Source organism: Homo sapiens, chromosome 11 (genome assembly GCF_000001405.40).
Source record: "Homo sapiens chromosome 11, GRCh38.p14 Primary Assembly".
Classification (NCBI taxonomy): domain Eukaryota; kingdom Metazoa; phylum Chordata; class Mammalia; order Primates; family Hominidae; genus Homo; species Homo sapiens.
The window spans coordinates 113,227,001-113,250,907 of record NC_000011.10 but is presented as its reverse complement, the minus strand read 5'-3'; the positions used below and the strand labels follow the sequence as shown (position 1 = coordinate 113,250,907).

Genomic DNA, 23,907 nt, shown 5'->3' with positions numbered 1-23,907 from the left:
GAGAATTGCTTGAGCATGGGAGGTGGAGGTTGCAGTGAGCAGAGATCGCACCACTGCACTCCAGCCTGGGTGACAGCGAGACTCAGCCTCAAAAGAAACAAAACAAAACAAAAAGCCCTCCATCTGTGTTCTCTATTCATCTACTTTGTTTTCTCCCTCATAGAGATCTGCACAAAGTTTCAGGTGTCTGAGCGTAAACCTGTGATAAATGTGGGGCTTGCATTACAATCTTTTACTTTTCCTATCAAATAAGACTGTCTAGTTTTAAAAATACTGTTCATTTTGTTTATCATAACTCCTGTCTCCTTTGGTTGATTATTTCTTCCAAGCAATTTGAAACTTGTGTTATATATACCTTTTTACACTTAGTTTTTGAAAAGTCCAAAATGTATGATTTAGCTATTCAAATATGAAGCCTATTTACTTTTTCCAAGTCAGAAACATTACAATTACATCCAGAGGTTAGAAATGTGGCTGGTCCTTAGGGGATCAGCAAATTATCTGAGGGAATCAGGATTTAGCGTTATTAGACCACTGATTCTCTTTCCTGAAACAAAGCGCTTAGCCCTCGACGACAAACAAAAGAATCGGATGTGATCTATGTTGCATACATTCTTGGATCCTCATGTCTCTCCCTGGCGCCTCTTTTGGTAACCTACCTGGCTATTCTAGGGATGCCGAGTGACTTTCGGACAGTCCCGAAGAACAGCCGGGCAGTGTAAGAGTGGGTATTAATTTGTCTTAGGCATTGTTCCTGCTGGATCAAGCTTTTGGGGTAAAGTTTTGTTTGTTTTTCCCTGAACCCTTTTCTCTTCAGCTTTAAGGCCTTGCTTGTGCCTGAGTGACCAGAATCTTTGCCATCCTAGTTCCTAGCTCCAGGGAGCCTCGGGATACACAATGAGTGAGTGTGGGCACGGCCGGTTCCCAGCTTGCAGAGCAAGGATGCTGAGCTCCCCGCAGCCACACTCACTAAGGCATCTGGTCTGTAAATCCTTTCCAGCACCAGTTTCCTGAGGAATTTATGAATGTGAGAGTATGTGTTGGGGTACGGTGGCAAATGGCAGCACAAGGTACAAATTAAACAGCAACCAACGAGCTCTGACAGACTGAACCACAAAAATACCAGTTCCCTTCTCGCAGGTGTCATGAAAACACCAACAGATTAATTGATCAATTATCTTTGTTTCATCATCCTAAAAAGAAAATATGACCAGGAAGGTATGGCTTGTGGTTATGGGGCTGATCCAGGCTGAGGAAGTTATGACAGAAATAACTGCTATCATCAACAGTTAACTCGGCTCCTGCCTCCAAGGCCACAAGGGGGCTCGTGCCCATCTTCAACTCTATTTCATGGACATTAGATTGGTTATGAAGAAGAATGTGGCTCCTGGGGAGTTTCAGCCCCCATACTGGTGACCCTAAGGGAACTGGCAGTTTCCAAGGCCAGCAGCAGCCCACAGTCCCTGCCCACAGTCCCTGCCCACAGGATTCGGGCTGACACACCTCACTGCCTTTTTCTTCAGCCCCTTCCCACTGACTCTCTACCCTAGGAACCTCCAGTGCAGGGAATCCTTAGAGATAAAGGCAATTAGAGCAGAAACCCTGGTGAAAAGTCTGTGTCGACCTGCCAGAGATCGTGGCAATCCAGACACACAGCTGTGAAAAAATAAAGGAGGGAGTGGAAGGGGTGGTTAGTGATGTTTTCAATCTAAGAAGGAAGAGTGGGTGTTAAAGAGCTTAGCTCATCAGAATCAGCGTTTCCTAGTACGAGTCAGTGTCAGTAGCTAAAGAAAAAAAATATCATTATGAATGGCTGGGGAGGGCGCCATGCTCAGACATGCAGCACATGGACAGAGGGGTGCAGGGGGCTTCTCATCTCACACATGCTGCTGGTGGGGAGTCCCATTTACACAGAGTCCTCAGTAGCTGGTGGACAAAGCCACGGCTCCGTGGAGTCATTGGAGGAAGCCCTGCAGTGACATGATGCCATGACCTTAGAATCAAAGTTTGCATCCTCACTTCTTCTTTTCTGGGACAGGTGTCTAAGCTTATCTGTCACAATCCTCTACAGGCCAAGCCCTGTAGGCTCAGGAGCCAAGTAACCATAAAGGATAGGGCTCAATCCCTGTTATAACCTCCCTTCTCCTTCTGAGTCGCCACACTTCACGCAGTGCTGCTGGATTCTGTAAACGCTGTCCCACTGAACTCAGGGTAGATGGAGCATCCAGCTTAGGTTATGCATATCCCAGGCAGTTTTCTTTTTTTGAGGGGGTACAAGGTGGACAGGGAACATCAGATGTCACCAGTTGTTGGGTGTACAACCCACTGACAGCAGAAAGCTCCCCCCTCACCCCCCAGCTTACTCTCACTTTTCTCATTGAGGCCCAATTCAGCTTAAATCTTTGCTAATACCCAGGGAGAGGAGGTGATAACTGTCCTTAACTAAGCTTTGTTGCTCTCCTCCATGGATTTTATTGGCCCTGACCTCTTCATTCTCTTAAATTTTATTGTTAAAGGACAATTCCTGCTGCGTGCGGGGCTCACCTGAATAAGTCTTCAGCTTGCCCCCTTGCAGATGGCAGGAGAGGGTCTGTCATGGATGAGGACATGGTTCCAGGAGGGCGTAATCATAGCTTTGTAATTCTCTAAGGCTGTCAGCGATTTTTTTTTTTTTTTTTTGGTACCGGCCACATTTTTTACCAACAGCCAAGATGACTGCTAAGGAGTGTTTCTACGGCAACTGCAGAAAACATCTTTAAACATTTCTTGCCCTGGCTTAAAATGTCTGGAAGAGATCTCTCTTCAGAGGAATGAATTAGTGTCTACCTTATTAACATTGTGCTTTGTTTCGTTCCGAATTATAGCATTGCACAGAAATGACCAAGCTTGTTTTAAAAAAAGAAATGAATAGGTTTCAAATTCAACATCCAGTAACTGCTCACATTTAAGATTTCATGGTGAAGGCCCAGATCTTTTTCCAGAACATCAGCTACTGAACAGTCATCTTAAGTCTGAAAAATATCCAGTCTTGCTGATGGTCAACCTTTGGGAAATCATGAAAATACCGTATTTTGGGTGGGACTTGTAGTTTAGAAAATCTTAAGCTGTCTATATTCTCTGCCCTAAGACCTGCATATTCAGATGATTTTTAAAGGTAAGCCCAATTTATTGGCGTGGACTGCATCAGATGTCCTTCTGCTTCTGGGACATTCCCACTTTATTTCATGCAATGTACATACCCAATATCGCCTTTTTGGAAATGAAGATGGCTCATAGGCAAGTCCAGGAGTCTGGCTGTAAATGGGACTACATTGGGGCCAAGCTGACATCCCTATAAAGCTGAGGGGCTCAGAGATGGGAAATGTGGAGGGTGAACGAGAGGGAAGGTACACAGGGCTAACACACAGGAGGAGAACGAAACACAAGAGCAGACCGGGAACAAAGGACATGCGAGACCAGCTGTTGACGGTTTGTCTGTGTGGATGTCGCCCAATCAGTTCTCAGAGAAGTGAGGTCAAACAGGGACCCCTTGCATGCACGGGCACACCAGGGGGTTATTGGAGTTAGTTTTGCTTTCGTGATCCATGTAGCCAATGTCTCAGGCTGTGATTGGAAGCAAAACATTCCAGTTAGGAGAAAACTGAATGCATATGACTCAAAGGGCAGGTTCTGAATAGGTGTTTGATTTGAGTGAGGGAAGCTGTGAGCAGAGGCTTCCTTCTCTCCTTCTGGTAAGCGAGAAATGTTTTAACAAGGTTGTGACAGTCACAATATTAACTAATTATTTTGTCACCGCTATGCACTTAATTAGGCTATAATTTTATTTCCTTTGCTGCAAGGGTCAATCATGTGTTTCTTGATTACACGGAGATCTCCATTCATGGTAATTGCCAAGTGACTTTTGCTTTGATTTTCTCCCCCTCCCTGGGGGAGGGCCACTCTTAAAAAGTGACACCTCAGTAATCACAGCCAAACTGCTCTAATCCAAATTCTTAAATCTCTTATTTCAGAAAGTCCTCAATGTGCATGAATTTTATGAAGCACTCTCACTGGGTTTTGAACAAATACAACCTTTGCAATTGATATATTTCACTCTGTAGCATTTCAAGGTTGTAAACATTTTCACAGGAATGTGACTCATTTTAGAACAACTATGGTGTTTAGAACTACTGGATGAAGTTAAATAACAATGCTATCAAGCTAATTTGCCAAACACCTTTCTAGGAAATAATTTTTATGAACCATCTGGTAAAAATTCAAGTTTGCAAACTGTGCTGTGGCTAATGTGGGTTGACTGTAGAGAACAGTTTGTGTGACCAAATTTCTTGAAGCAAAATACCAAACCAAAGGTTGTCATGATACCAAATCGTCATGTCAAGTTTGCAAGGAATGATGAATTCTGGATGTGAATTGAGAACAAGAGGAAATCTCTCAAATGGCTTTGCTTAGGAAATCTGAGACAGGAAGAAATGAGTGTGCCCTATGTGCCAGGCTGTGGTCCCAGATTTATTTCACTAATCAGAACAAAGAGTTTTACCTTCTGTTCACCAGCGTGGACGACATCATCAGCACCATGCAAGCCACATGACAAAGTCACATGATACGCACGCACATGATATTGGTTGAAAGGAAAGTGGAGGAGGTCACATGGAAAATACAAAAAAATTAAAAACTGATGTAAACAATGGGCAGGGAGAAAAATCAACAACAAAATCACAGACTAAATAAAAGGAGAAATCAAATTAAATTAGCAGCATATATAGGAAACATTGGGAGGGCAGTGAAACTGCCCAGAAATAGAAGAATAATAAATCATAAAGAGCATTTGGTTAACAACACCAATAAGCATTAGCTACGGCTGCAACACTACATATTAATACCACATCAGGAGCATGTAAACTTGTTTTGAAATGGGGAGGTGTTGCTGTCAGGACCCAGATGTCAAAGTCAATCCAGGAGACTGTTAAAGGAAAAGAAAAAAGCAAGTTATTATCCACAGATTCCAGAAATGTCTCAGCATCCTTGGGAAACAAGGGCAATGAAACAGAATATGGGTCATCAAGGAAAAGTCCCGAGAGTCTTAAGGTGAAGACTGTGTGCCCTAGAAGAACAAAAGATTGTATTAAATTAAGAAGAGTCATTTCATGTTTCCTATGGCATAAGGAGGAGGGGAGTATGGGCTGAATGAGGCTGGGTGGATGCATGCCAGAGATGGTGGCTTTGAGGATCTTATCTCACTTCTTTCTCCACAAACCCATGTTATTCCTGAGACCTCGGTGAGCCTCCCTGAAGTCAAGACCCATATAAAGGAAGAGGCCAGTGCAGACTAGGGAATGGGTTTCCTTCTGATGGTTGAGACAATGGCTGTGTTGACACTAAACAGCAGAAACTGTACCTTTGGCCCAACGTGCTGAGAGTTTGACATTAAGCAAATGTTTGGGCCATTTGTGGTTAAAGTTTTTTGTTTTGAAACGGTCTCGTTTCATCACCCAGGCTGCAGTGCAGTGGCATGAAGATAGCTCACTCCAGCCTTGACCTCCCGGGCTCAAGCAATCTTTCTGCCTCAGCCTCCTGAATGGCTGGGACTGCAGGCGTCTGCTACTATACCCAGCTAATTTTTCTATTTTTTGTAGAGATGGGGGTTTCGCCCTGTTGGCCCCGCTGGGCTCAAGTGATCCTTCCACCTCAGCCTCCCAAAGTGCTGGGATTATAGGCTTGAGCCACGGCACCCAACCTGTTGTGGTTAAAGTTATATCTTTAGAATCGTGGTTGCACTGATAAGTCATAAATTTGAGATTTACAATGAAAAAAAAAAAACACTTTTCTTAAGCATTCCTTTTGGTCCTATGTTGTGACTGAGTGATCTCGACTTGTTAAAAGGTATTTTGGGTTTCTGACCTTAAATTTAAGAGGCCAGGGAAAGTTTTGGCCATTGCCAATTGAGGCTGAGGGAGAAGGGCAAAGAAGGGAGATGAAGACACCTTTCTGTGTAAAGAACACCGCTGGTTAAAAATAACCTGAGAGAAATGCTTTAACCAGGCTACCTCTTCCCTTGCCACCGTGAGCTGACAGAATGTGTGCTTCTTTCTTATTGTCTGGCATTACACAGATTCAGGCACCTTCCTACCAAAGGGGCCTTGCAGGGATTATATACAACTAAGCAATTGCTCCTTTGGTTTTATTTAGAATACCTTTATTCCCTCATAATTATAAATGGGTCCACACACACACACACACACACACACACACACACGCACACACACAGAAGCAAAACTGGGAGATATGTATTTTCAACCCCACTGATGGATTGATGATCGATGGATATTCACATGCTGATAGCTACTCTGCTATTAGTTCCACTGCAATTCACATGTGCCACATTTCATCTTACTAGTGAGAAATATGTTCATGCTAAACTCAGGCTGCTGCCCAATTGTGAGCATCTTTCCTTTATCTCAGTATCCACTGGGACCTACAATTTGGGTCAGTAGTCAAGTGGTTCAAAATAAAATGACTCAAACTTTCTTCCCTTTGGATGTCACAACTAAGCATTTTGTCTGTGGGCAGAAATGTCTGATGTTTAAAAATTAAAGACATGTCAGGGGAGAGACACCTAATTCCTTCTTCAGGCAAAATCTGGAACCAAGATTGTGTTTCACTAACAGAGAAGACCAACCTACAGTGAGCCACCTGAAATATGACACAGTTGTACAAATACATTATGTAGCTTTCTCCTACTGTGCCTGGACACACATTGCACCAGGTTGAAAAAGGACAGGAGTGACACTGTAGAATAAGAAAAGGGGCTGTCAGCTGCATTCCTTTTCCAAATGTAAAAAAAAACCCCTCATAATCTGAATTAAACCCATGCGAGCACAGCCTGTTGTCACCGGCTCTGCTCTGCTGACAAAATGAAACCTCAAAAGCATCAGGAATTAAAATTCATCGCAGCACACACACGGAGGGAACACCAAGAAAGCAGACCCTTAGCTGTGTTCTGCAGTAGAAAAAAAAGAACCATTTCATGCAACACACAGAACCAGGAAACTCTTTTCTTCTCTGTTCAATTATGTATTGGAAAGCTTGGCCCGGGGAGCTGGAGTTATACTTTGCATACCTGCTTTCTGCCTTCTTGTTCTGCTTGATGGGATGTATGCCATTTTTTTTCTGTGCAAGCAGAAATATTATAAAATCTAAAACTCCCACACAGCTTTGATGCTTGAACACTATGAACATGCACGCATACTCATATGGATTCTTCAGGAGATTCAGGTCCTCCACACACATCTTACTTCATTAGAGCATTATGAAGACCAGCTTGGAACATGTTACAGCAGTGATTCTGTGCAATGTTTTCTACGATGAAAAAAGAGGATACAATCTGGCTCTTGACTCTATTGTCAAGAGATAAATTCCAGCACTTTCATCTGGACTCTCAACCCAAGGGGAGCCTGGATTAGGCTTTTTCTGCCCATCATTTTTCTAGCACTGAGGCGGGAGCCTGAAAGGAGACAGCAGGAAGGAGCTCTCTCCTTCCCCTGTGCTCTGCGTACGCGGAGACAAAGCCGGGCATGCTGTCAGGAAGCAGCGGCTCCTTCCTTCTCGGCATCACCCTCTCCCTTTCCTCAAGCAGCCATTTTCTCCTATTCCTTCCCTCGCTCTCAGTCTTTTTGCTACTGCTAAATTAACACGCGCATGAGCGTGTGTATTTCAGAAGGAGGGACAGCAAAGCGAAAGCCGGGAAGGAGATGCTGTTCTTTTGTGTCCTCAGGGTTTGCCTAATCCTTGGCTATTTTTAACTAGAGAGTCGATTTGGAAAAGCCTCCTCATGCACGGAGTATTCTTCCAATAATCAACCCCGTTCTTTTGCTGATGCTTGGTTTGCTCTCTTGGCCAAGCAGACGGCATGCTTAGGAAACCACACCAGGCTAGGAGCCTTCATGCATTCACAACTGTTGCTTTTAATAAAAGGGAAAACAACAGGCAGCGCTGTAATCTAGAAGTCGGCTCTACAACAAGCGATCAGAGGTCTGGCCGAGAGCAACTCAGCCCTGTACTCACTAGCTGGTTCTGTGGTTGCAAGGGCAGGAAGAGGCCAAGTTGCTATGGAAACACGACAGACAGAAAAGGCAAAGAAAGGTGAAGGAGAGAATGGAGATAAATTAAACTCATAGCTATATATGTATACATACATGGGTGAGTATATATTATACATATGTAGGCATCATTATAAAGATGGTGAAGGAGGTATTCTCTCTCTTCTCTATCAATATTAATATACATATTATTTATTATTTTGAGATGGAGTCTTGCTCTGTCACTCAGGCTAGAGTGCAATGGTGCGATCTTGTCTCATTACAACCTCCATCTCCTGGGTTCAAACAATTCTCCTGCCTCAGCCTCCCAAGTAACTGGGATTACAGGCACATGCCACCACGCCTGGCTAATTTTTGTATTTTTAGTAGAGACAAGGTTGCCCAGACCGGTCTTGAACTCCTGGCCTCAAGCAATCCACCCGCCTGGCCCTCTCAAAGTGCTGGGATTACAGGCCTGAGCCACCATGCTGGGCCTTAATATACATATTTAAAAGACTCTTAATATACATATTTAAAAGAGATGATCAGAGATTTTGCTGACAAATGACTTTCATGCAGCAAGAGATAACATAACTCTCATTTATTCTTACTATTAATTCCAGCTGCTAAATGCTGAGCAGTATGTTTTGTGTTCTTCACATTTAATCTTTAATTTTCACAAACACTGAAAAGGTAAGTGGAATCCATCCTTCACCTTAGAGGTAAGAAATCTGAGACTTGGGGAGGCTTAGCGACTTATCCTAGGTTATGGAGCTTCAGGCGGAAGAAGCGGAGCTGTGATTTGAACCCAGGTCTGTCTACTTCCAAAGCCTGAACTCCGTCTGCTACAGGACAGTGCCTGGAAAAGCACTGCATGGGATGGTGGGCATGCTTCTGAGTCAACAGATGGTGACAGAGGGCTTCTGAGCTTGAGGCTTGAGTCACCTCCTGAGTCTGAGTCCAAACCACAGGGGCTTCTGATATATCAAGGAGAATAAAGCCAGCCAGGCGGCACCACCCTGCCTGCCCATTTGCTGCTGTCTGCCACTCTGGGCAGATGCTGGCATTACATCCTGTGTCTTACTGAGCTGTGGTCTTACTTTGCTATTCCTCCCTGGAAAGCTAGGTTCAAAACTCCAAACAGTGGCAGGCCTGGAGCCCCTTCTACTCCTGCACATTCAGGCACACAAAAGGACAGGATAGCAACATTAATTAGATCAGAAATGAGCAAGGCTTAGCCAGGATGATGAAATCTGAGAGCGACCAGCTGACATTACTGCTGGCTTGGTGGTAATGATCCCATGTGGGTAAAGCAGAGCATGATAAACATGAAAATGTTTGTGATTTTCTTTAGGGTGGCGGGACGTGGGTGACTACTCATCCTATTTTACAGAGGAGATAAACAAGGCTCACTTGTGAAGGGTTAAACGATTTGCCTAAGCGCCTACTGCCAGGCACATCTGCCAGACACTGCCAGACACTGTTTATTTTCCCACAAATATTTACAAGAAAAGTATGCATTTATGGATAAAGCGAAAGCTACAGGCCTCCCTATCTAATTTCAATGTCTGTATCCAACTGTGCCAATTAAAATGAAGGGTAAAAACAAAACACTCCAACACATTTTCTATGACCCTGCAGAGGAGACATTTTTCTTGGTCAATTCCTTTGGCTTCTCCAAATACGAGCTTTGATCCAGCCCACTCAGAATCCTGAGGACAGGGCTGGCCCCAGGGCGGCAGCCTTGGGGATCCTGCCTGCAGGGTTTTCTATCCAGAACAATGCTTTTCCCTCGCCTCTCCTTCAGGGAAGGCTGCCCCTCATGGATCTGAGAAGCCCTATGCCTGTTTCTCTTCTCAACTGCTCCTCTAAAACCCGACGCTGCTTTCCACCAACTGAGTTGAATTATCACCTGGTGAAGGAGATAACATTAGGCAAAACAAACTGTGGCTGGTGGAAAGTGACCTGCAGAGAGATGGATGAAGAAAATGATACTCACTATCTGGTGGAGACAATGGAACAGGGGTAGACGAGCTAGCAGATGCCGCTGAAGAAAGAAAAATGAAGGTGGGGAAAAAAGATCATTGAGGCACACAGATACTGAATGAAAAAAAAATGGAAGCAACAACCCTGGGGCATCAGTATGAGGAGCTGAAGTGAGTTAAAGTGGGAAGAACAACACCGTGTGTGAACAGCTGGCCAGGGCACTAGCGAGGAGCAGGGCTCTCTCTAACGTCAAACCTTGAGACTGTGCACCTGCCAAACCCTGCAGTTCAGGTAAAGTCTGGGCCAGGAACAGCTGCACAAGCCTCAAACCTTGACTGAAAACAAATATCCAGTTCAGCAGGACCAGCTGTCTCCATAGGACGAGAGGTATAGGAGGAAAAGGAATCTGGACCTCAGTTTAAGGTGAACCAGTGAAGGAGAAAATAGACATTGGCTTTTCATGTTACACATCTATATATGTGTTTCTATATAGGTATATATTTCCACATATGACTTTATTTATAGCAAAACCTATATGCCTCACTCATTTCAACATCTGAATGAATGAGACAGAAATGGCTCTCCTACCTAATGTGTACTAGTGTATGAAGTTCATGATCCTGTATCATACAGATGATGCTGCAACCACTGCTGCCTTCCAAAACTCCCCTACAGAATGTGGTTATTTGGAGGCTGCTACGTAAGAGCCATGCAAATAATGTTCAGGATTATTCTCACTCCTCCAGGGAATAGAAATGATGAAGAGACTGGGACTGAAATTCTAGCCATTCTTCTGTGTAGAGGATGGTTAGTTGTGCATCTGAGATACTGGGACACTGAATGGATCTTTGGTTTTTCATTGGCAAATATTTGGAAGTAGTCCCATCAGCAGTCACAAAACAAAGTCTCCTTCGAGAGCTAGATGAAAATTTGGAAAAACCTCAGTGTATCTCCGCCACTGCCTTAATATCTAATACTCATGGTTTTGTCTTCCTTTACCTTCCACATGAGGGCATCTCATTAAACCATGAGTACAGTGTCACTGGAATCAAAGCAACAAAGAATCATAACTCATCATTATTGGATGGTCTGGTTAATTCAGGTCTCCTTCCCTCTCTTTTCTTTGTTTAGCTTGAATTGTTTGCATAGTTATACTTGCAATGTGCCACCTGGGGGACAACATATGAAAACAAAAATCTCAAGATGCCTCTTTTAAAAAGTAGAGACTCAGGAGTATGGCGTGAACCCGGGAGGCGGAGCTTGCAGTGAGCCGAGATCCCGCCACTGCACTCCAGCCTGGGCGACAGAGCGAGACTCCGTCTCAAAAAAAAAAAAAAAAAAAAAAAAGTAGAGACTCATTCATAATCTCTATATTCAAAAAGAAATAATCTATTTTGCTTCATGGTACAGAAGCAAATTAAGAGGTAATGTTTGGGCAATGAAATTATGAAGGTGGGTAGCTCAGTCATGGAGGGGAAGATTCCTAGCTAGTTGTAAGGAGTCTGACACAAGCAGCCCGTCTCAAGGCAAACAGAGGTTTTGAGCTTTCCTCCTGAGTGTCTTGATGGCATGCAGACATTTGGCTTAAAAAATACATGAAATAGGCACATTCTCACAGGTTAGAGTTTTATTTGTTGGTCTGGGGTCACAGCTTCCTCATTACCTTCATGCACATTCATGAACTACACACAAAGGAACCTCCAAACAGGTAAGCCATGCTTACTAACTGGCAGCTTGAAAACAAGAGTCCATTAAGTGTTTGTGGCTTTTACTAGCTCCCCCTGCTCATCCCTGCTCTGATATATCCATGTCCCTAAACATGGAAAGGTCTATTAAAGAACCAAGAAAGCAACCCCATTATTGAGACATCTCAACGAACTTCAAGCGATGAGTCAGTGCCAAATGCGCTGGTCTCACCTGACACCTGGCAGCCCAGGAGTCCGGCAGCAACACCTGCCTGTGCAGCACACTGGCCTCTGCTGACTCTGTGCCTTCTCTTCCTTGGGGCTTGGGGTATAACCAGAGCACAACTCCAGTGGTAGGAGATCCTGCTGTGCATCTGCATCCCAACAGTATTACAGGACAGGGGTGCAGTGTCAGTGGTGCCGTAAGCTGGCATCAGAAACCAATGCCACTGGTTCTTGGGCTCAGTGCAAGCACACAGCTAAACTGGTGGTTGGTTCTGTCTACCTAAGTTCAGACAATCTTTGTGTCTTCCAAGAAATGAGAGTAAGAATTCAGAGAAGGTCCTTCCTAAGGCTCGTCCTCAGTTCCTAGCAGCAAAAGGGTGGGTTTGTCATAGCAGTTGTAACTGCTGGCAGCATCCTCCCAATGATATCTGTTTTCAGGATGGGTCTAGGGGCAGCAGGATACTCCGTGGGCTAAGTCCTCACTTCAGCAACTCTGGGAAGGTTATCAGGGCACAAAGAAAGACCATAATAAGTTATCTTTGGTGATAATATGATGTTCCCATATGTTCACCGCCTCATCCTGCTAAAATTCTTGCAAAAGGCGTGCTCAACTCTAAGAATATGCCATGGTTCTACTTATCTAAAAGAAGTTTGCCTTTTGATTCTTCAGACCTTAACTTTATTAAATGATTGAGAAAAACTGACTTTCTGTACCACTAACAATGCCTGTTGTTGTACCATTCATGACCTACTTGGAATGCAGAGATGACACCATCCTTTTCCAAAGGGCTTCTTGGAGTCGTGGTTACTTATCCATTTTGATACTATCAGACAATAAACAACAAGGTCTGGAGACCTCTTTTTTGTAGTTAAAAATCTAAATTTTAATTTAAAATTAAAATTTCATTAAAAATTTCATTTTTAACATTGACTTTAAAAATATAGCTTCTGAGATATATATCTATATCTATCTATCTATCTATATATCTATATATATATCTATATATCTATATCTATATATCTATATATATCTATATATCTATATCTATATATCTATATATATCTATATATCTATATATATGGTCTCACCTTTGCAAGAACTGAGCTGGCAATGAATGAAAACCACTGCGGCCTTTGAAGTCCAAGACCCAGTTACTCTGATTCAGTACTCAAACTCCAGTTACTGGTTAGAAACTCAGAGGGGGGCCTCATCCCAGCCTTCCTCTCTTTAATGTAACTAAGCCAGCATTCATTTACTGATCAAATCCAGACCAGAGGAAACCTGGAGACTCAGTTGAACCACAAGTTAAAGATCAGGGGAAGATCCAGAAGGAAGGTTCCCTCATGCCCAGAGTGGCTCCTCTCGAACTTGCTTAGGGCATAGCTGCAGGCCCAGAGCAGGTACCTGTCAGTCCGGCCTGAAGGCTCCATCCCCCAACTCTGATGCCTTCGAGAGCTGGTTCATCCCGGCACCAACTCTGCTGAGGTAGGACATTTGGCACTTGCTCAAAATCTCAGAATACCTACATGTAGCTACTTAGTTTTTGCTGTTGCTGCAATATTTCTGAATAATGTTAAAAAGATAAGCTTCCTTGGGTACCTTTCAGGAGCTGGGAGCCTTTTTATGAAAAGACTGTACAGCTTCCTGAATACCTTTTTTTCTGTGTCTGCCTGGGTAACACCTCCCTCCGCTATTCTGGTTCAGCCTAGGAAGAACCAAATCTCAGGAGAAGGGAAGTTTAGGGGCATTTCTGCAGGCTAATGGGGTCAAACCACAGTTCATCTCTCTGTTACCCTTGTTCCCTGTGTCCTCTATGTACAGCTTACATGATGAAGGGTGTCCTTCCAGTGGGGAATCTCCCCTTCCCTAGCATGCATGGCAGAAGAGTTCCTACATTAGCTGGTTAGTCTTCCCCAAACGAGGAGATGCACACTGCAAGTAACTACATGCTAAAGAACAGAGCTGACCGGAACTAGAGATTTAACTCTGCAACAGCTACCTGTGGGACATGCCCATGGCTCGGAACCAAAGTTCATGCTACGTTTTGACTATGGCAGCTGCTGCAGGAGCCTCCCTGGCCAGTCCTCCTATTCCCCTCCAGCTACCAAGCTGACAGACAAGAAGCAAGGAAGCAACTGAGCTCAATTCCTTTATCTCCTAAAAGCAAATATGAAAATCCTTTCAGGTTCTTTTTCCTTTCAAGGTGTTTTGAATAGTGGCCTGGTGGGGCTGTGGTCACTTTCCCGGCATCCTGGCTGAAGGTGAGGCGGGGCTATAGCGTGTTATTCAGGGCCCATCTGCAGACTTCCACCATGCTTGGCTCAGCAAACACCATCTTTGCCGTGGGGTAATCATCACACACAAAAATTAATAAATAAGCACAATTTCCAAAGACACAGAAGTTGCATGCTCTAAAACAGGAAGAGTGTTAGCCTCTTGGAGTAACCTACAGACGTTAACAACAGCACAACTAGACTAAGGTCAGTGTGGTTAGGGCCCAGACAATATCATCTACTTCAGCCTCTAGGGGACAAAAAAGGGACCAGAACTAAATTACGAACTAGAACTAGCAGATGTTAACGCTATGGAAACAGGTAATGAGGTATGAAGAGGCACTTACGTGGAGGAGGGCTATCTGCATTTCCCATGGATGGAACACAGACGAAAAGAAAAAACAAGAGACAGACCCAAGAAAAAAAAAATAAGATGTAAAAGAAATGAATAGAATCCGCAGAGCACATGGAGCTGGAAACTCAAATTATCAAATTACTTCAAATCCAGAGAAAGAAGCCACTCCTGTAGAAGGAAGATGAGACAGGCTTTCCTATTTCTGGGAAGAGGTAAGGGCAGTGGGTCCCTTTGCAGGCCCCTGGCTTCAAAAAGAAGGAAGCAAAGGATTCTCCCAGGTGCATTTTAAATCCAGGGGTCAGAGAGCCCAGGGAACTCTGTGAACACTCAGAAATTTAGTTCTACGGTATCTTCTTTAGCTGGGTGGACTCAGGAGCTTCCCAGGGTAGTATCTCTGTCTGCAAAGGGGTATGACAGGAGCAGGGCTTGCCCACAGCCTGGCTGCTGGTGGGAAGGGAGGGCAAAGTGGGATAGGCGTAGTTAAAAGAAAGAGGGAATGGCCGAGGAAAACCTAGAGATACATCCCTGAGTGGAATCAGGGGGAAGCAATTCTCTTGAAAGAGGCCGTGAGGAATGCTCTTGCTATGGGAGGGAGAGGAGCAGAAAAGGCCAAGGCCAGGGCTACCTCTTCCCCTTGGCTTTGCTGGGTTTCTGCTGCTGCTCACATATTCTATAGCAGTTTCCATTTGTCTCTGACTTAATATCTCTGCTGCATCAAAGATCCCGCAATGCATTATGTGAACTGTCACCATCTTTACCCTCTTCCTGCAAGTCACAGGGTGCTTAGGGCTTCTGTGGCCTGTCGAAAAGCAACTTTCCCAGATCCTTTGACAACTCACTCCTGGTTTTCTCCCCACTTCCTTTAATAATGTGTTGGTGCCTTCCCCTTCACTGTTATTCTAACAAGCTGGACCGGCTACTAGGACAGTGTCCCCAACCCCTTGGAGAAAGAGAGAATGAAGGGACTGTGTGTTAGCTGTCACTGAGAACCAGAGAACTAGGAGGTGGGGCCTCCAGGAGCAGAGGGATCTGAAAGACAAAAAGCTGTGGTCTGAACAATGACATGGGCCAGCTCAGGGTTCCCCACTGCCCCCAGGGAGAAGAAGGTGGGCTGGGAAAAGGGGGGCAGCTGGCTTTACTTACGGACTGGCTGCGTCTTGAACTCGGAGGCCGCGCTGATCTCACCCAGCCCTTTGCCATTGAGCGCCGCCAGCCTTACGGCGTACGTTGTTTCGGGCTTCAGGCCCACGATGGTGACGATGCCCTCCATGCTGGCTGTTATAATATGGGAAGGATGACAAAAGAGTCTATTGTTAAAATGGTGCAGCCGCTCTGAAAAACAGTAGGGAGGGTCCTGAAAAAATTAACTGTAGATTTATCATTTGGTCCAGCAATTCTATTTCTGGGCATATGCATAGAATTGAAAGTCGGGACCAAACAGATACAGATACCTGGCTGTCCATGTTCACAGCAGTATCATTCACAATAGCCGAAAGGCAGACCCAAATGACAGATACAGATGGCAGACCAAACAGATACAGATACCTGGGCTACCCATGTTCACAGCAGCATCATTCACAATAGCCGAAAGGCAACCCAAATGACCACTGACTGATGAATGGATACATGAAATGTGGCATAGACATACAATGGAATGTTATTCCACCTTAAACAGGAAGGAAATTCTGACACATGCTACAACATGGATGAACCTTGAAGATATTATGCTAAGTGAAATAAAATAAGCTAGCCACAAAAGGACAAATGCCATATGAGTCCACTTATGTGAGGTACTTAGAATAGCCAACTACATAGAGACAGAAAGCATGGTGGTTGCCAGGGGCTGGGAGGAGGTAGTGAATGAAGAGCTAGTGTTTAATGGGTACAGAGTTTCAGTTTGGGATGATAAAAAGTTCTGGAGATGGATGGTGGTGATGGTTACAACTTAATGCCACTGAATTTTACACTTAAAAATGATGGAACGTAAAATGTATGTTATGTATATTTTATAATAAAAATAACTAGAATTGATCTTTAAAAAAAAAAAAAAGTCGGGTGGACAGATAGTGACATGAGATCAACCTGCCACAAAATTGGTATGAGATTTCAGAGGGAAGTTAGGAAGGCAAAGTGATTGCTTTCTTCTGGCTCCAATCCTGATTACCCAGCAGCTCCTCTCGGCCCCCTGGCTCCCCCGAGAAGCTGAAGAAGTGATGGAAACTTTCTGGCAGAACTAATTCTGAGTGAAACTGCACTGGACTATGTCTCTGAATGGCTGTGATACTGATATCCCAGCCTACTTCCAATTCCACTCGAATTACCACATACGAGACCAGGATTAAAAATTTGTACAGAAACAAAACATACTTCACTGAGTTATTCCAATTAAACCCAAAAAGGGGAGTCCAACATAAGCACACATTATCCTCAGATGATCTGGGCTCAGAATCTTCACACTGCAGTAATCCAAGGGTCAGTCTTTTAATCTTTAGCTTGGAAAGCTAGCACAGGACTGATTTAAGGGCAGACTTGTCCTGCTGGCTGTGCTTATTTGGTTACTATCACAATTACAAGACAGCCAGTCCCTGAGTACAGATATCCAAGCAGGACTGGCCGGGTGTCGGCAGAGAACCTGCAGCACAGGTAACTCAAACGTGCAGAGTAGGATGGATTAGACTCATCTGGCCATGCTCAGAACCTATGGGCTGGACTCATCTGGCTGCGCTCAGAACCTACACAAGGTTCCTGCCTGGAATGTGGTACAGATGCCTTCATCCATACTGGAAGGGTCATGAGAACCAGGCTCTGAAGCACAGAGCATGGGTTGGGGTGGCAATAGGGGCAACAACTCTACAGGCAGATATGACTTTGACCTAATTCTGGAGGTGCAGTTCCTGATTCTGTAGGAACATGCCCAGGATGGCAGGTGGGGACATCTGAGTACTGAGGCACTCATGATCCCAATGGAAACACCAACTCGCCCAACTCACCTTCCTTGGCATCATACCACTTGGAATGCCATACTTCTTCACCAACTGCTCTCCACTCAGCTTTGTATTTGAGGATGGGCACCCCACCTGTGGCCTCTGGTTCATCAAACTGCACCTGGGCTGTGCTGGAGTATGGCTCCACCTGGTCGATGGATGGTGAAGAGGGGGTGTCTGTGGGGAAGACACATATGGAGACTCAGGTGAGCCCAGTTTGGCCCAAGACCATTAACTCTCAGTCACAAGGCACATCTCTGTCATTTCTGCTCACTCTTGGGAATCCTGTCACTGTATCCTGTCCTCCTGGCCCATCTCACCAGATGCTTCTCCCCCAACATGCCCCATGCGCTGATCCAATGGCTCCCAGCTTCCCAACTCTCTGGCTTTGCTGACCCTGGCCCTTTCTTCTTCCCAATATCCTGGAATCACTCAAGTACACAAATTGGGCTGGCAGGGTTAGGTGGGGGGTTGTGGCAGCTGCTCTCAGGTGAGTAAGGGACACTCACCTGCTTGAACAAGGATGAATTCCAAGGACTCCTGCCCAATGCGGTTCACTGCAGTACAGTTGTAGTTCCCAAAATCATTCTCAGAGTCTGGGGTCACCTTTAGAAGGAAGAAGCTATTGGGTTACAAGTGTCCTATGGGATGGTCACAGACTCAGATCTTTATTTACTGAATTAAGTTAGTAAAAAACAGAACTAGTAAAGTATAAATCATTAGCTCCAGCCCAGCCTTAAACAAGAGAAAAGAATAGCAGAGGGGCTCATGGGAGAGGCACATTCAGGGAGGGGACTGGTAGAGTGGGCGAAGGGGAGCTGAAAAGAGGCTCAGTGTCTTCTCTAGCCCATGCCTTCCCTGCTCAGGATGTGCCAGAGAAGCAGGAGAGAGGACTTGAGCTGCATTTTGGAGCCCACCTAGAGTCAAACTGTGCTTTCTCTGCTCTGTCCCACCCCCATCCTGACTCACCTCCAGATAGCTGGCAGAGGGGGTGTTGTAGATCTTGATATTGCTGTAATTGGAGCTTGGCAGCAGCTGGCCATCCCGAAACCATGAGATCGTGGCACTGGGATAGGCAAATACCTCGCAGGTGATGTTCACCTGGTTCCCCTCCCAAGTGTACACAGCCACAGGGCCCTGTAGCTTTGGGGCATCTGCAATAAATAACAATGACTGTCAGGATGACTGCCATGATTATGAAGCCCCCATATCCTGTCTCCTGGCACTGGGAAGGCAGGTGTGCTCCAAAGCAGAGCCAGCGCCTGGTATAGTAGAGGTCAGGGCCATTCTAGAATTCCTGTGCACAGCATGGGAAGAAGACTCAAGGGCACAGCAGGCTTGTAAGAAGCCTGGAGATGGTGTGTAGGGGGTGGCTTGGGAACAGAGCTCTGAAATAGCCCAGGGTCAGCTGCAGGGAACGTAAGCAGAACACACAGGGTGCACATAGGTCCTTGCTGATGTTTTCCTCTCTCATCCTGACCCTGCCTTGCCCCTCCCTCCCCCAGGTCCTTCCCCATTTATTCCTTACATTGCACTTCAAGGTACATGGACTGGGAGTCCTGGCCGATGGTGTTGCTGGCGGTGCAGATGTACTCTCCGGCATCAGTGTACTGGATGCTCTTCAGGGTCAGCGACGACACACGGGCATGGCTACGCACCACCATGTGCCCATCCAGAGTCTGCCGGGGGTGGGGGGGAAGGGAGCATGTCAGAGCCCAAGGCAGGGTGAAGGGCAACAGTGCTATGGCAGGATGGGGGCTGGGAGACTAGGCCATCACTTGTCTGTGACCCGTCTCACTTCCTCTCTCCTCTCTGTGTCAATGGCTTTCTTACTTTAGGTACCATCTAATGGGGGAGGCACTGGGAAGCAGCATGAGAACCTGGGAGTATCCGAAACAGAAAATGAGACTCAGTTATGTCAGGCAGCCTGATCTAAGTACCAAGATTGGTTTGGGGCTAGGTCCCCCAAGATGACTTTGTTTGGGATGTCTAAAATGGAAGCAAAGCCTCCGGCCAGCAGATATTGCAGCAGCAGCAGCAGCAGCCCTACCTCATGAGATCCTGGGAAACCTGCACTGCCAGCCTGTCCTTTCTGTCTGCCCACTTGCCAGTTCCATGGTGCATGTACCTGTGGCAGGACATTCCAAGTGCCCAACATAAGAAATTATTAAAGAAATCCTTATTTCTGCAGATGCCTCTTTCCTGGATGTTTAAAAGTGAAATAATCACATGTAAAAACAAGCCAAACAACTCAAAGATCAGGAGCCACTGCACTGGAAGTGAGAGTAACTGGGTTCTCTCTCCAGGGACAATGGCACAGAGAGTCCTAGGCAGGTCTGGGATCCTTGACACCTTGGCCACCACCATTTTATAGTCCTTGATACAGCAATGGGCTTCCTAAATCTCTGGAATTATAATGATTGGTCAAAAAGAGAATAAGCACATAGTCCTTAGGCAATGGGTACTGGAGTATTTCCAAGGGGATTTCCCCTTGACATTCTAAGTAAAATGGTTGCTGGCCCAGGAAGAGTCTAGGCATGTGGCTTAACTTCAGATCCTCAAGAAAGTTAGTGATCTGGAGAAAGGGTCTTGTTCTGGGTAGGCTGGGCCCTCTTGTCTCCAGTATATGATGTTCTGTAGGGATGGACAGGAGGTTATATTCTGCACCTGGCATCTGCCATCCCATGCGTTGGGTCTTTAAAGAATGACAGAACAATTGGCTTCAGGTTCTTTGGATATGCTGGTTTGGGGCCCTGAAGCCCAGAATTGCAATGTCATACAGCAGCCAGATTAGGAAGCTCACAAGCAAGGCATCACTAGCCTTGTTCAGCAGTCTCAGCAGATTTACCAATGAAAAGTCCCTTGGACCATCACTGACAGATCTAGCCTATTCCGGTCATCTGAGCCCCAATGCATTTCATGTCTGGAAGCTAAAAAACAACTCTAGCAAGAAGACAGAAGAGTCAAGCAAAGTCATGGCTGCCCATTTCTGCAAGTGCCATTCCTCCCTGGGATGAGTTCTCTGATCCTCTGCTTTGACCTATAAATCTGGGATGCTGGTTGGTTGAAAGATGCATCCCAGGAGATGCCACACATTAATGAGAGATGACAACAAACAGGTGTGGAACACTTCACTAGAAAGCCTTGTGACACCCAGTTTGTTGGAGATACTGGATTTTTGAGGGCTGACAGTGCTGATACATTCCAGGGCTATTTTCTTTTCTTTTTCTTTTTTTTTTTAATTATACTTTAAGTTTTAGGGTACATGTGCACAACGTGCAGGTTTGTTACATACGTATACATGTGCCATGTTGGTGTGCTGCACCCATTAACTCGTCATTTACATTAGGTATATCTGCTAATGCTATCCCTCCCCGCTCCCCCCACCCCACAACAGGCCCCAGTGTGTGATGTTCCCGTTTCTGTGTCCAAGTGTTCTCATTGTTCAATTCCCACCTATGAGTGAGAACATGCAGTGTTTGGTTTTTTGTCCTTGGGATACTTTGCTGAGAACGATGGTTTCCAGCTTCATCCATGTCCCTACAAAGGACATAAACTCATCCTTTTATATGGCTGCATAGTATTCCATGGTGTATATGTGCCACATTTTCTTAATCCAGTCTGTCATTGATGGACATTTGGGTTGGTTCCAAGTCTTTGCTATTGTGAGCACTGCTGTAATAAACATACGTGTGCATGTGTCTTTATAGCAGAATGATTTGTAATCCTTTGGGTATATACCCAGTAATGGGATGGCTGGGTCAAATGGTATTTCTAGTTCTAGATCCCTGAGGAATCGCCACACTGACTTCCACAATGGTTGAACTAGTTTACAGTCCCACCAACAGTGTAAAAGTGTTCCTATTTCTCCACATCCTCTCCAGCACCTGTTGTTTCCTGACTTTTTAATGATCGCCATTCTAACTGGTATGAGATAGTATGGCATTGTGGTTTTGATTTGCATTTCTCTGATGGCCAGTGATGATGAGCCTTTTTTCATGTGTCTTTTGGCTGCATAAATATCTTCTTTTGAGAAGTGTCGTTCATATCCTTTGCCCACTTTTTGATGGGGTTGTTTGATTTTTTCTTGTAAATTTGTTTGAGTTCATTGTAGATTCTGGATATTAGCCCTTTGTCAGATGAGTAGATTGCAAAAATTTTCTCCCATTCTGTAGGTTGCCTGTTCACTCTGATGGTAGTTTCTTTGGCTGTGCAGAAGCTCTTTAGTTTAATTATATCCCATTTGTCAATTTTGGCTTTTGTTGCCATTGCTTTTGGTGTTTTAGACGTGAAGTCCTTGTCCATGCCTATGTCCTGAATGGTATTGCCTAGGTTTTCTTCTAGGGTTTTTATGGTTTTAGGTCTAACATTTAAGTCTTTAATCCATCTTGAATTAATTTTTGTATAAGGTGTAAGGAAGGGGTCCAGTTTCAGCTTTCTACATATGGCTAGCCAGTTTTCCCAGCACCATTTATTAAATAGGGAATCCTTTCCCCATTGCTTGTTTTTGTCAGGTTTGTCAAAGATCAGATAGTTGTAGATGTGTGGCATTATTTCTGAGGGCTCTGTTCTGTTCCATTGGTCTGTATCTCTGTTTTGGTACCAGTACCATGCTGCTTTGGTTACTGTAGTCTTGTAGTATAGTTTGAAGTCAGGTAGCATGATGCCTCCAGCTTTGTTCTTTTGGCTTAGGATTGACTTGGTGATGCGGGCTCTTTTTTGGTTCCATATGAACTTTAAAGTAGCTTTTTTCCAATTCTGTGAAGAAAGTCATTGGTAGCTTGATGGGGATGGCATTGAATCTATAAATTACCTTGGGCAGTATGGCCATTTTCACTATATTGATTCTTCCTACCCATGAGCATGGAATGTTCTTCCATTTGTTTGTATCCTCTTATTTCCTTGAGCAGTGGTTTGTAGTTTTCCTTGAAGAGGTCCTTCACATCCCTTGTAAGTTGGATTCCCAGGTATTTTATTCTCTTTGAAGCAATTGTGAATGGGAGTTCACTCATGATTTGGCTCTCTGTTTGTCTGTTATTGGTGTATAAGAATGCTTGTGATTTTTGCACATTGATTTTGTATCCTGAGACTTTGCTGAAGTTGCTTATCAGCTTAAGGAGATTTGGGGCTGAGATGATGGGGTCTTCTAGATACACAATCATGTCATCTGCAAACAGGGACAATTTGACTTCCTCTTTTCCTACTTGAATAACCTTTATTTCCTTCTCTTGCCTGATTGCCCTGGCCAGAACTTCCAACACTATGTTGAATAGGAGTAGTGAGAGAGGGCATCCCTGTCTTATGCCAGTTTTCAAAGGGAATGCTTCCAGTTTTTGCCCATTCAGTATGATATTGGCTGTGGGTTTGTCATAAATAGCTCCCATTATTTTGAGATATGTCCCATCAGTACCAATTTATTGAGAGTTTTTAGCATGAAGGGTTGTTGGATTTTATCAAAGGCCTTTTCTGCATCTGTTGAGATAATCATGTGGTTTTTGTCTTTGGTTCTGTTTATATGCTGGATTATGTTTATTGATTTGCATATGTTGAACCAGCCTTGCATCCCAGGGATGAAGCCCACTTGATCATGGTGGATAAGCTTTTTGATGTGTTTGCTGGATTCGGTTTGCCAGTATTTTATTGATGATTTTTGCATCGATGTTCATCAGGGATATTGGTCTAAAATTCTCTTTTTCTGTTGTGTCTCTGCCAGGCTTTGGTATCAGGATGATGCTGGCCTCATAAAATGAGTTAGAGAAGATTCCCTCTTTTTCTATTGATTGGAATAGTTTCAGAAGGAATGGTACCAGCTCCTCCTTGTACCTCTGGTAGAATTTGGCTGTGAATCTGTCTGGTCCTGGACTTTTTTTGGTTGGTAAGCTATTAATTATTGCCTCAATTTCAGAGCCTGTTATTGGTCTATTCAGAGATTCAACTTCTTCCTGGTTTAGTCTTGGGAGGGTGTATGTGTCCAGGAATTTATCCATTTCTTCTAGATTTTCTAGTTTATTTGCATAGAGGTGTTTATAGTATTCTCTGATGGTAGTTTGTATTTCTGTGGGATCAGTGGTGATATCCCCTTTATCATTTTTTATTGCATCTATTTGATTCTTCTCTCTTTTCTTCTTTATTAGTCTTGCTAGTGGTCTGTCAATGTTGTTGATCTTTTAAAAAAAACCAGCTCCTGGATTCATTGATTTTTTGAAGGGTTTTTTGTGTCTCTGTCTCCTTCAGTTCTGCTCTGATCTTAGTTATTTCTTGCCTTCTGCTAGCTTTTGAATGTGTTTGCTCTTGCTTCTCTAGTTCTTTTAATTGTGGTGTTA

At 44.5% G+C, this 23,907-nt stretch overlaps 1 protein-coding gene across 31 annotated transcripts in view; it reads right to left on the bottom strand.

Moving 5' to 3' along the window:
• Nucleotides 1-23,907, bottom strand: part of NCAM1 (neural cell adhesion molecule 1) — a 317,017-nt gene that overhangs the window by 27,529 nt on the left and 265,581 nt on the right. For 12 of the 31 annotated variants that reach the window (NM_001400624.1, NM_001386290.1, NM_001400617.1 and 9 more), the window contains 5 exons: nt 19,113-19,263; nt 18,554-18,738; nt 18,094-18,190; nt 17,591-17,761; nt 15,744-15,875 (listed from right to left, as the gene is read on the bottom strand). In NM_001400624.1, the coding sequence (NP_001387553.1) occupies nt 15,744-15,875; nt 17,591-17,761; nt 18,094-18,190; nt 18,554-18,738; nt 19,113-19,263 (736 nt within the window). Of the gene's footprint in view, nt 1-4,537; nt 4,541-8,061; nt 8,104-10,074; nt 10,123-14,592; nt 14,608-15,743; nt 15,876-17,590; nt 17,762-18,093; nt 18,191-18,553; nt 18,739-19,112; nt 19,264-19,634; nt 19,713-23,907 lie in introns of all 31 variants that reach the window. The other 19 variants (NM_001400621.1, NM_001400623.1, NM_001400609.1 and 16 more) reach the window with 8 other exon arrangements.